This window comes from Homo sapiens, chromosome 5 (assembly GCF_000001405.40).
Source record: "Homo sapiens chromosome 5, GRCh38.p14 Primary Assembly".
NCBI classification, from domain to species: domain Eukaryota; kingdom Metazoa; phylum Chordata; class Mammalia; order Primates; family Hominidae; genus Homo; species Homo sapiens.
This window is the reverse complement of record NC_000005.10, coordinates 36,108,770-36,121,945: the sequence shown is the minus strand read 5'-3', so window position 1 is coordinate 36,121,945 and position 13,176 is coordinate 36,108,770. Positions and strand designations below refer to the sequence as shown.

General features: G+C 35.5%; 1 protein-coding gene across 3 annotated transcripts in view; it reads left to right on the top strand.

The window, feature by feature from the left end:
- LMBRD2 (LMBR1 domain containing 2) overlaps nt 1-13,176 on the top strand; it is a 53,481-nt gene that overhangs the window by 29,942 nt on the left and 10,363 nt on the right. For all 3 annotated transcript variants that reach the window (NM_001007527.2, XM_011514162.3, XM_047417877.1), the window contains 6 exons: nt 4,030-4,211; nt 5,353-5,486; nt 6,826-6,931; nt 7,425-7,522; nt 10,688-10,791; nt 11,955-12,001. In NM_001007527.2, the coding sequence (NP_001007528.1) occupies nt 4,030-4,211; nt 5,353-5,486; nt 6,826-6,931; nt 7,425-7,522; nt 10,688-10,791; nt 11,955-12,001 (671 nt within the window). The remainder of the gene's footprint in view (nt 1-4,029; nt 4,212-5,352; nt 5,487-6,825; nt 6,932-7,424; nt 7,523-10,687; nt 10,792-11,954; nt 12,002-13,176) is intronic.

Genomic DNA, 13,176 nt, shown 5'->3' with positions numbered 1-13,176 from the left:
TCACTGCATGAGCATCATAGGGTATGTACTAAACCTAGATGGTATAGTACAGGTAGGCAATATGGTATGGCTTATTACTCCTAGGCTACAAACCTATACAGCATGTTACTGTACTGAATAGTGTAGGCAGTTGTAACACAGTGGTTTTTGTGTATATAAACATAGAAAAGATAATAGTAAAAATGCAGTATTGTAATTTTATGGGATCACCATTGTATATGCAGTCCATCATTGACTGGAATGTTGTTATGTGACACATGACTGTACTTAAAATAGTTAGAATTTTAAGTAATTTTACATCACAAGCTTGGGTCTCTTCTTCAGTCTTGACATACTACTGAAATATTTGCTTAAGTAGTCCTCTTTGATTATTAACATTTATTAGTCTTATTATAAAACCTATACTTTGTAGTTATCATTTTTCTCCTTTTTGCTAATTTATGGCAATCCCTTCAAGTATTGTCAAATTTAGTGTGAAGAAACTTAAAGCAAGTACCAAAGTGTCATAGTATTAAAACTTCTATTTACCTTATTTATTTTAAAAAAATTGTTATATTCACTTGATTCTCCTTTGCATGTTTGGTTTTGAGTATGAAGACTTAATGGCTATAACAAATATCTCAGAAAACTCCTTTAACAAAAATCCTTCCTAATTAAATGAAGGAATGATGTGTTATCTGTTTTCATTCATTCAACAAATATTTGGGTACATTAGTGCTATGTATTATTGGGTGCTGGGTAGCTTGGTATATATCAGTTTAAAAAGACAGAAATTCCTGCCCTTGTGGAGTGAGAAAAACAGACAATAAACATATAAAGGCATAAAGATTCTGAATAGGCAGTTGATTATAGAAATTGAAATTCAAGGGAGGAGTCTGAATTGCAGATATGAATTAGGGTACCATCAATGTGTAGGGAACCATGGGGTCAGGATAAAATCAATAAAGAAGTAATTGAGATAGAGAAAAGAGAAAAGTCTGAGGACCAAGCCTGAGGCACTCCAGAATTTAGAGATTAGGTGGATGAGAAGTAACTAGCAGAAAAGACTAGAAAAGGAGGGGCCAGTGAGATAGGAAAATTAGGACAATGAAGTGTTTTGAGGAAAAGAGTATATAAAGTACCTTTTCAAATGTTGCACATAGATTAAGGATCATATATATTAAGACCTGACCATTGGATTTTAGAGAAGTGAGGGGAGAGGATAAAAAAGTCTGACTGTAATTTAAAAGAAATAAGAAGAGGAGCAATTGGAGACAGACTAGAAAACTCTAAAAATGTTTTCCTTATAAAAGGGAACAGAGAAAAGGGGTAGTAGCTGAAAGAGGATTGGGGGCATAGTCAAGAGAAATTATCACATGTAATTAGTAAATGATATAATAGAATTTGAGGCCAGGCGCGGTGGCTCACACCTGTAATCCCAGCACTTTGGGAGGCCGAGGCGGGCAGATCACAAGGTCAAGAGATTGAGACCATCCTGGCCAACATGGTGAAACCCCGTCTCTACTAAAAATACAAAAATTAGCTGGGCGTGGTGGTGCGTGCCTGTAGTCCCAGCTACTCGGGAGGCTGAGGCAGGAGAATCACTTGAACAGGAGGCGGAGGTTGCAGTGAGCCGAGATTGTGCCACTGCACTCCAGCCTACCTGTAGTCCCAGCTACTCGGGAGGCTGAGGCAGGAGAATCACTTGAACCCAGGAGGTGGAGGTTGCAGTGAGCCGAGATTGCGCCACTGCACTCCAGCCTACCTGTAGTCCCAGCTACTTGGGAGACTGAGGCAGGAGAATCGCTTGAACCCGGGAGGCAGAGGTTGCAGTGAGCCAAGATTGCACCACTACACTCCAGCCTGGGGACAGAATGAGACTCCGTCAAAAAAAAAAAAGAAATAAAGAGAGAGAGAGATGAAAGAAAAGAAAGACAAAAAGAAAGAAAGAGAGAAAGAAAGAAAGAGAAAGAAAAGAAAAAATTCATAGAATTTGATAAGACAATAGAGAATTTCTAAGACAATGTTCATGACTAGTAGAGATGAGATGGTGGGAAATAGTGAACAATGAAGAGAATGGTGGAGGTAAGGCACAGATGTAACTAGCTGAGAAGGTGTAGTGTTAGAAACTTGGGAAAATTCTCTGATCGCTTCTGTTTTCTCAATGAAATGTGGAGAGTAAGTATAGGAGAGGAGATTTTAGAGATTTGAGGAGGGAAGAGAAGGTGCAAAATAGTTGCCTAGGAGAGTGGCATGGGAGAAGATTGGGGAATTATAGTAGGCTAGTGAGGCAGTACTGAGGACCCACTTGAAGCTAGTGATTAAGAATTTAAAGTGAGGCCAGTCAACAAGGTGGGGTGTCTTTCTCCTGCAATGTGCAGCTGTGTGGATGCAGGCTGAGAGTAGCCAGCGAGTTGGATTTAAACAGGTGTGATTTAGCTTAGCAGGTACAGTGGAGCAAAATGGGGCAAAGTAAGTGGGATACTGTCCTCAAAGACTGGAATCTGAGCTGCATGAGGAAGGAAGGGTATCAAAGTGTTAAATAACGGTAAAATGTGATAGAATAAATTGATTTTTCATCCAGGTATGGTCAGTTAGTGGAGTTGAAATACTGTACTAGATGAAGGTATTGTTTGAAGACAAGGATGCTGGAATGTGATTATATGGAAGGGCTGGAGATATTGATAATAAAAGGTTTAGGCATCACTATAGCAACAAGTAATTGAGGTAGGGTGGAGGGAAAGTTCATTAGAGGAGAGGAGGTCAAAGAAATGAGAGATAAGGGTATTGAAAGGGGAATCATTTATGTGGATATTGAAATCACTAGGAATTATGAGAGGAAAGTTGTAAAGAATTACAGTGAACCAGAAGCTAACTATTCAGTAAATGAACTAAAAATATAGCTTTTTAATTTATTGAGCTTTCTTTTTTAAATTTTTATTTATACCTAAATTCAGACTTAAAACCAAAATAGTGCTGGGAGTGGTGCCTCACACCTGTAACCCCAACACTTTGTGAGGCCGAGGTGGGTGGATCATGGGGTCAGGAGATTGAGACCATCCTGGCTAACACGGTGAAACCCTGTCTCTACTAAAAATACAAAAAATTAGCTGGGCATGGTGGCACGTGTCTAATAAAAATACAGAAAATTAGATGGGAGTGGTGGCACACGCCTGTAATTCCAGTTACTTGGGAGGCTGAGGCAGGAGAATCACTTAAACCCCGGAGGCAGAGGTTGCAGTGAGCCGAGATCATGCCACTGCACTCCAGCCTGGGCGACAGAGCGAGACTCCATCTCAAAAAAAAAAAAACAAAAAACCAAAACAGTACAAAATATTCCCATATACCCTTCAACCAGGCTCTCCAATGTTAATATTTTGCCATATTGATTTGCTTTTTCTGTATGTATTTTTTTATTACTATTTTAGAGTTGTATCCAGACATGATGCCTCCTTGTTCCTAAATGTTTCCGTGTATATTTTCTAAAAATAAAGATATTTTCTTACATAGCCAAATACAGCCATCAAAATAAAAAAATTAATATTTATACTCTACCATTATTTACAGACCTTATTCAGATTTTGCTATAATTATCCCAATAATATTTTTTGTAAAAAATCCCAGATCATGCATCGCATTCAGTTGTTGTGTCTCCTTAGTTTCCTCTAATCTGACACAGTTTCTCAGTCTTTGTGTTTTATGATATATCAGAAATGTTTTGGGGAGTATAGGCCAGTTTTTTGTTGAATGTCCCTGAATTTGACTTTGATGTTTCTTTAAAATTAGACGCAAGTTCTGCATTTTTCACAGGACTACCACAGCAGCAATGTCACATTCCTATCAGTACATCATAGCAGGAGGCACATGATGTCAGTTTGTCCCATCATGGGTGTCATTTGGTTAGGTTCGTATCTGCCTGGATTCTCCACTGTAAAATTGCTGTTTTTCTCTTTGTAATTAAGTATCTTATTAGGAGCTATTTTGAAACAATGTAAATATCCCATTACTCTTTTGTAGTTTTCCTAATCATTTTTTTCTTTTGTCTTCTAGAATGGTACTGGGAATGTCTTTTGCGACCATGGTTTTACAAGATACTTGCTGTGGTTCTGTCCATCTTCTCTGTGATTGTTGTGTGGTCAGAGTGCACATTCTTTAGCACTACTCCTGTCTTATCCCTCTTTGCGGTCTTCATACAGCTGGCAGAAAAAACATATAATTATATTTATATCGAGGTCAGTTTATTTTATGTCTGTCATAAATAGATGTCACTTCATAGTATAATCCTTAACTATTTTCTCCATGTATTTCTTCTAGTAAAAATGAAAGCAGTGAGGTTTTCTGCAGTGTTGTTATTCAAACTTCCAGAAATGTGCTTCATTATTTTACCCACACTATAGAAATTAATAACTGTATTTGAGGAGAGATGAAAAGTTGCAAGATAGTGCAGAAATCTGAGATTTTTTTTTTCTTTCTGTTTTTTTTGGAGGCAGAATCTTGCTCTGTCACCCAGGCTGGAGTGTGGTGGCATGAACATGGCTCACTGCAGCCTCAACTTCCCGGGCTCAAGAAATCCTCTCACCTTCACCTTAGCCTCCCAAGTAGCTGGGCCTACAGCCATGCACCACCATCCCCTGCTAATTTTTGTATTTTTTGTAGAGTCAGGATTTTGCCATGTTGCCCAGGCTGGTCTGGAACTCTTGCACTCAAGTGATCGTCCTGCTTCAGGAGGATCCATCACACTTGGCCCTGGGAATACTTTGATTATATTTATGCCAGTAAAGCTACATAACTTATAGGCCTCATGTGAAGAGTTGCCAAGGGAATGGGAAAACAGGCTCACATTAGAAGGTAGATTCGAAACTTTTGGATCTAGGATGTTAAACAGTTTGAAGTGTTGGGTTTTTTTCATAATCTTAGTGGGTGATTAAAAAATTCTCTATTACTGTATTTCAATTTTAGAGCATCAATAAATGTTAGCTAGAAATGAAGGCCAGGCTGGGCGTGGTGGCTCACACCTGTAATCCCAGCTCTTTGGGAGGCGAAGGCGAATGGATCATGAGATCAGGAGTTTGAGACCAGCCTGGCAAACATGGTGAAACCCCATCTTACTAAAAATACAAAAATTAGCCGGGCGTGGTGGCACATGCCTGTAATCCCAGCTACTCAGTTGGCTGAGGCAGGAGAATCACTTGAACCCAGGAGGTGGAGGTTGCAGTGAGCCAAGATCGCGCCACTGCACTCCAGCCTGGGTGACAGGGCGAGACTCCATCTCAAAAAAACAAAAGAAAAAGAAATGAAGGATAATGCCTGTAATTGTTAAGTGCTAAAGTCTGTTTGTTTTAAACAAACTGCTTTGTTTTTGTTTTTTTCCAGATTGCCTGCTTCCTTTCCATCTTCTTCCTAAGTATCTGTGTTTATTCTACTGTGTTCAGGATTCGTGTATTTAACTATTATTATTTGGCCTCACATCACCAGACTGATGCTTATAGCCTTCTTTTCAGTGGCATGTAAGTAGGATTATGTTTAGAAACAAGAGAAATGTCATCATTGAGTGTATTCTTATGGATCTTTTATTTTTTGTTGTTTACAGGTGTTCCACTAACATCTATATTTCTATCAGCTAATTGATTAGTTTCAAATATTAAATTGATGTTTGTTGATTGCCAGCTACTTCCTGCTTGAGGTTTAAGGTTAAAATAGGTGTGCTAGGTTAGGCTAGAAGGCAGAAGAAGCATACTTAGTGAGCCCGGATTTACCAACCAGAGATTAGCAAGCAGTAGAAACAATGGACAGTTTAGAGACTAAGTCAGACCTAGATGGTGTTCTAAGATTCAGCGGTCTCTCACTGAGTTGAGGAGGACTGAGAAAACCAACAAGAACAATTTTTCCTGAGGAATTCAGAGAGGATTTAGAGAGATGTCTTCAAGTTGGGCAAGATTGTACAATCTATTACCTGTTCTTATTGTTAAATGAGTCCTATTAGGTATTTATAAAGGATGAACTTAGATAATTTTATAGAGGAGTTGACATCCAAAGTATTTTTAAGCATCTTTTTTGTTGTTTTCCAAATAATTATGGACTCATGGGAAGTTGCAAATGTAGCACAAAAAGTCCTATGTAACCTTCACGCTACCCCCAGTGATATCAAAACCAGGAAATGAGAGTAAAACATTACTATTAACTACAAACTACAGACTTTATTTAGTTCTCACCATTTTTTATCCTTCATTCGTGTGTGTGTGTGTGTGTGTAGATTCCTGTAGCCACCAACACAATCAGGATTCAGAACAGTTCTATCACCACAAAAGAATTATCTCATATTATTTTTTTTTAATTCATACCCACACTTTATTCTCCCCAGCCCCAATTATCCAAGTGTGTGGGTTTGTAAGGCATTCTTTTTATTTGGACAGAATTGAACAACTTTATATCTGTGCTTGTCAGAATGACATATGTTGATACAACTTCAGTTCTTTTATGTACTGAATACAATTCACCTTGAGGATGTTACTGTCCTTGTCATGCTGTGAGATGGATTTTACGGATGGCTTAGTTGTAGGAGATGATACAAAGGCACTCCACAACTTGTGGGGATAAAGCAATGGCAGAAACCATAAAAGCAAGGAGCTTGAGGCTGTAGTCACGTAGGCATTGATGTGGCAATTTTCAGAATATCTCCCAAGTAAGTGAGGGCAGGTCACATTAAGAATTCAATATATATATAAAGCAAATAGATGAAAATTTTAGCTATAATTATCTGAAATGTTTTTAATACATCTCAGTATACTATAAAATGTATTTTGCTGCTTTACTTTTTATATACATATTTTTAAATGTTTGTTGCAGGCTATTTTGCCGTTTGACACCTCCTTTATGTCTTAATTTCTTGGGTTTGACCCATATGGATTCATCTATCTCTCACAAGAATACTCAACCAACTGCTTATACATCTGTAAGTACGGTCAGAAAATAGAATTCCTTAGGTTCACTATCTATATGAGGTGCTGTTATTGTGAAATTTCTTTTAATGCCAGCAGAAAAGTTCTATAGTGTTATTGGTAAAATTTTCTCTTAAAGATTGTATACGTATTACTATTGACTAGATAAAAGTGATTTTCCTTCTTTTATGATAAAAATGTTTTTTTTGGTTCATATATGTTGTCTAGCTGACCAGTATCAAAAGAACTGACCTATACTAATATTAACTTTATATTTGTAGTCAATGTATGTGATAATTTTGAGTAATAATTATATTAATTTTCTTTAAGAGAAAACCTCAATAAAAAGCAGATTTTAAAAAATAAGTCCATTTACTGCTTTTTTTCTACTTTTTAAAAAGTTCAAATGGATTGATATAACTGGTTATAGGCAAATTTTCTAATGATGGAAAGGAATGGAAATTATAGAGCTATTCCAATTTAACTTACTTTTTTCTTGCTCTTCAGATTATGGGTTCCATGAAAGTTTTATCCTTTATTGCAGATGGATTCTATATATATTATCCTATGTTGGTGGTAATTCTCTGCATTGCTACTTATTTTAGGTAAGAAACTTAACATTGTTTTTTCTTTTGCTCTTAAATCTGGATATCCTTTCTCTTTAAAGCTCTTTTAAATATTTACTGATTGAGTTTCAGTTTGTTTCATTGTAGCTTTGGAGAAGCTGGGGATAGTTTGAAGGGACTACTTGAGTGATCAGGTGCGAGTCTCCCTCTAAAAAATTTAAAGAAAAAAGAGGTAGAGTTATTATTCTATTATAATAAATAATACTATTTTAACATTATTCTATTTAGGCTAAAAAATGATAGGATTAATTACAGAATGTTAACTCTAAGTCCTGGCCTTTGACACTGACAGCTATCGTAGCCTGCAAAACACCCTTATGTCCAGCTTTTTTCTAATGACATAAATTAGCCTTAGAGCTTTCCAATAATTATTGCTGGGTGTCTAAATGCTTCAGACCATGGCCAGCACAAAGGGTCAGGTGAGGACCGATTGTAATCAAGCTGTACATTAAGATTAGAGGAGAAATTTTCTCCTGTGTCATAAAGTACATGGCATGCTGTTTTCATGGAATTAGAATGAATGGTAGAATCTAGGCAGGAGTGAGATTCAAAAGGGATTAAAGGATAGGTGTACTTGGCTTCTCGCATCTGTCTTTCCTTCTTTTTACATGTCAGGCCTCCTCATCCTGTACTCTGCCCTCTTTCATTGCTGAAGTGCTCCATAACATACCCAAAATACCACTTTTTCAAAAATACTTAAAAATGTTCATTGCTTACTCTTCTGAGAAAAATAAATTTTATCTACCCACTTTATTTAAATCTTCCAATACCATTTTATAGTTGTTACAGATAATATCTACTAACATTACAGTAATGAGTAAACAGATATTGTTTAAAATACATTTTCTATTGAATTTTTGAAAATATATTTTACTTTCTTATAAGTAAAATAACTAAAAGATTATAACTTCAAATTGTAGCAGGATGAGCCGCAGACAAGAACCCCTCAGACACCGAGTTGTAGAAGGAAAGGGCTTTATTCAGCTGGGAGCATCAGCGGACTCACATGTCCAAAAACCGAGATCCCCGAGTGAGCAATTCCTGTCCCTTTTAAGGGCTTACAACTCTAAGGGGGTCCTCGTGAGAGGGTCTTGATAGATTGAGCAAGCAGGGGGTACGTGACTGGGGGCTGTATGCACCGGTAATTAGATCGGAACAGAACAGGACAGGGATTTTCACGATGCTTTTCCATACAATGTCTGAAATTTATAGATAACACAAGCAGTTAGGTCAGGGGTTGATTTTTAACTACCAGGCCCAGGGCGCGGTGCTGGGTTATCTGCCTGTGGATTCCATTTCTGCCTTTTAGTTTTTACTTCTTTCTTTGGAGGCAGAAATAGGGCATAAGACAATATGAGGGGTGTTCTCCTCCCTTAAAATAATACTTTTAATATGAACTGATAGCAAATCTGATATTTTTAGTGTTTTCTTTAGGTGGAGACAGTAACAGATCTACAGTGTGAAAATGATGTATTAAAAGAAGAGACTAGTCATACTTTGTGTGCCTAAAACTATGTTTTTATTATGTGCTTAATCATTTGAAAAGTTAATAAAGTGGAACATTAAGAACTTGTATAAATTTTTTTAATGTTACAGTTATGCTGGCAAGATTAGCATTTCTTCTTACCTTATTAGATGGTTATATAGATCAAGTGATATGGGGCAGAATAGTGCTCTGTCAACTATAAAATCTTAGCTATAAGGAATCACTATGTCCGAAAGCAAAATTGTTAAGATAATCATTAAAAGTGTCTTTCTAGAGTTAATCAGGATAAACTTTGAGTGCCATTTTATCTTTAAGGGAAAAAAAAGGTTGTATTCCTTAATTTTCGGATTAACTCACAAAATAGATCTTCTGTTATAGAAACACCTGAAGCAATGCCTTACTGACATTTCAATGATAGGTTAACTTGATAAGTTCATTTTCATTTGAAATGCTGCCATAATTAGTCTAATTCCCACACTATTAGCAACACAGCCACACCCAGAGTTAATATTCAGACCTACCTGCCTAGAGAGCATAAGTTGTTTCCTGATACTTCAGACAAAGAGAAAACTTTCCCAGAGACAGTGATCTAATTCTGAGCTTCTCATCCCGGAGTATAGTACTCCCATAAGGATATGAAGATGGTAAGGAAATGTTTGAAGTCAGAGAATTAACATGATCATCTACAAAACCCCAATTTTACCCAATGGTAATGCATAAAAAACATTTTTATATGAATGAAACAAGTAGATATATTATGGATTAGCTAGATATTTACACATTTTTACTGCAAAATGGAATGGAGATCTTCACTTTTTCTAAATTGCTTTCCTGTTTTCCCTTCGTCTCTCTCTCTCTCTCTCTCCTTCACCACTTTCTCCTCCTCTTCCTCCCTCTCTGTGTAGAAGTACATCATTGAAAAAGTTTGAGAACTAATATAATAAAAAGAGCTGCTTGGTTTTTATTTTCTCTGGGATTTAAATTCTAGGTCTGTCATTTATTAAGGGATCTTTAGCAAAGTATTTAACCCCTTAGGCCTGTTTTCTTATCTGTAAAGTGATATTTATCTCTTAGAGTGATAGTTAAAATTAAATAAGAAGGCATCTGTAAATTATCTGATGTATAGTTGGATCTTAAGAAATATTAATCCTGCTTATTCACCTATCATTTCCTTCCTTGTGTTCCATATTTTCAGTATTCTTGTCTTGTACAACAATCAAATTTAAAGTAAATAGCAAATAAGATATAAGGTAGTAGTCTTCAGATAAGATATAGTAATCAATTTGTAGTGTATAAAAGCTATTTAAATAGTTAACTAGATCAGAGGAAAAAAATTGCTCTTACATTATTACAGTTATCATTTTAGCATCTTGGTATAATTGTTTTCTGAAGGTATGCTGATAACTTGACTTAACTGACATCTATAAGAAACCTGAATATAGTGCATACCCTAATCAGTGAAGTACAGGGCATACACTTCTTAGAAAGGGAGATAAGTGGTACTTCCTGAAGCATGTCAGATGTGACAGTAGATAACTATATGATAACAGATAATGAAGCATAGTCTTCTTTTGGAGTGACAATGCTAAAGAACAATTCATCTAAATATTTACAATGTGAAATAATGTTTGTCTTTTTAAAAAATCTGCTTTTATTAGTTTGGGAACCCGTTGTTTGAATCTGCTCGGTTTCCAGCAGTTTATGGGAGATGATGATATGACATCAGACTTAGTTAATGAAGGAAAAGAATTAATCAGAAAAGGTAAGATTTGTCTTTTAAAATAAATGAAGGGAAAATACTAAGTGCTAAGACTCAAAATACAAAATTAATATTTGTGTAGTTTGTGAATATTTTTTAATCTATTCTAAGAAATTATGAATTAATGCACATTTTTAGCTAAAAATGTACAATGGCCTTTCTAGCAAAAATAATTTGAAAACATGAATAATTGTTTTATCGGTCTTTAAGAAATTCTGAAGCTTAAATTATTAGTATGTCTGCAGCGAGATAACACCCTTGTATGGTCTTGGAATCATTTTCATGTTTACCTTGAAACATATTTGCGAAGCTCTGTACAACTATAAAACTCATTAATTTAAAGAATCATCGGTTTGATACTGCATGGGAAATCATTCAAACAAAGGCTACTTTTTTAGAACGTGATCATTAACAGCCTGTTAGAATACATGGTACTCTAGTAGAATCAAATCACAAAACTGAGTGTATTAAATTTACTGATGTTCAAAGTGATGATAGCATGGAGGGAAAAAAACTTGACTTTTGGGACATTGGTTCTTAGACATTCTCCCTACTTGAGTCTGGGGCTTTTGTGTAATTATGAGTTGAATGTAAGACAAAATGTATTGCAGCTCCAAAATAAGCCAGTGTAGCCTTCACGTGCTCTCCTATTAGACCTCATATGGCATAGCACATCCAGTCCTGGGTAAGATTTTTAAGAATAAGACTGATAAATTAGAAGGTATTTAGAGAAGGACAGCTAGAATTGTGAGTCTGTAGGGCATATCCTGGGGGAAAAAAAGTGAAAACATCTTGTCTGTAACCTAAAGAGAGTAACAAGGAAAGCGACTCATACAGAAAGAAAAGAAGTATGAACTTAACTTAGAAGACAGGAATAAAAGAATAGAATTTACAGAGAAACAAATTTCAGGTCATTGTGAGAAAGAAATCTTTCTTCCCTAAAGTTATTTAAGCGGAGACTACAGGGCCATCTGCAACAAAAATAGAGAAGGCATTCACTACTGAGTAAGGTAACCTCTCAAATTCCTTCCAGCAATAACCTATAACATTTGATTTTGTGATAATTTAAAAGAAATACTGGTCATTGCCCGCTATCTTTACTTCAGTTGCACTATGTCTGATTAAACCATGTTATGCCATATTTGAGATCATTTTTCTGTCTTTAGAGAAGAGAAAAAGGCAAAGGCAAGAAGAAGGTGAAAATCGAAGAAGAGTAAGTACAGTATTAATTTCTGTAATCTGAAGATTAATTTGAAATTTAATTTCTTAAGAATCTTACTAATTTGGAATAATTAGCTAAAGACAGAAAAAAACAGTGGAAAAATGTTATAAGATATATTTTTAAAGAAAGGGAATTTTAATACTTTCAGGTATATACGCTAAGTATCCTGACAGACCTGTTCTAAAAGTCATTAGTAATAAATTTCTTTGTGTTTAGCATCGAGCAGCTTCTTGCTAAAGTAGGTGCTCCATGAATATTTGTCGAATGAATAAATACATAAATTTGTGTATTCTTGCTATTAAAGTGGTTTTGATTGCTTTAAAATTGTTTCTCTTTTTTTGGTGCTGTGACATTAATTTTATTCCTCCTTAATTTTTCTTTAAGCCTCCATTTTCTGAGGCAAACTACCCTCCTGAAGAAAATGAAAAGGCAAAAAATGAGTAAAATCTAATTATAATTACCACACATTTTTTTAACAAATGGGTGTATATACTGGCAAAGTAAAAACTAACAGGAAACTTAATAGTTGTCTTTGTGTATCTTCATATATGTGTATCTTCTTTATTTTAGAATGCAGAACTAGAACCAAAGAGTAGAAGTTACTAGAGATAGATTTCTCTTCTCTATGGGAATTTCTAAATTACACAATTTACCAGAATTGCAATAGGCTTCTCGGACATAGGAAATTACATGCTATCTAGTCAGAGAGCCAAAAAGCATCTGGCAAGGATGTTTTAGAATGAGACCCTGCACTGCATGGAAAGTTGCATTAGGTGACTTCTAATGTCCCTTTCAATTCTAAGAATTTAATGAGTAGAATCCAGTTAATATGGTTTGACTGCATTTAAGATAACACACAATGCCGTGTGAGTCATAGGCTAATTATGTTTGTATACAACTTTAACTGTTGACTTTTTGGCTCTCTAATATTTGTAGTTTATTTGAGTGAAAGAAAATCTTGTTAACGTCTGTTAGTCATTATGGGTTCTCTTAACTTTTACATGGTCAAAGTAAGCTTGTAGTAATATTGTTTTACAATTTAGATAGATGAGTAACAACCAAAGTTAGCAAAAATATCTCTATGTCATTTGTAAAAGTTGAAGTTTATAGAGACTGTGACTTCAATAAATCATGTAAAAATAAAAACATTGACCTATGATTTTTAA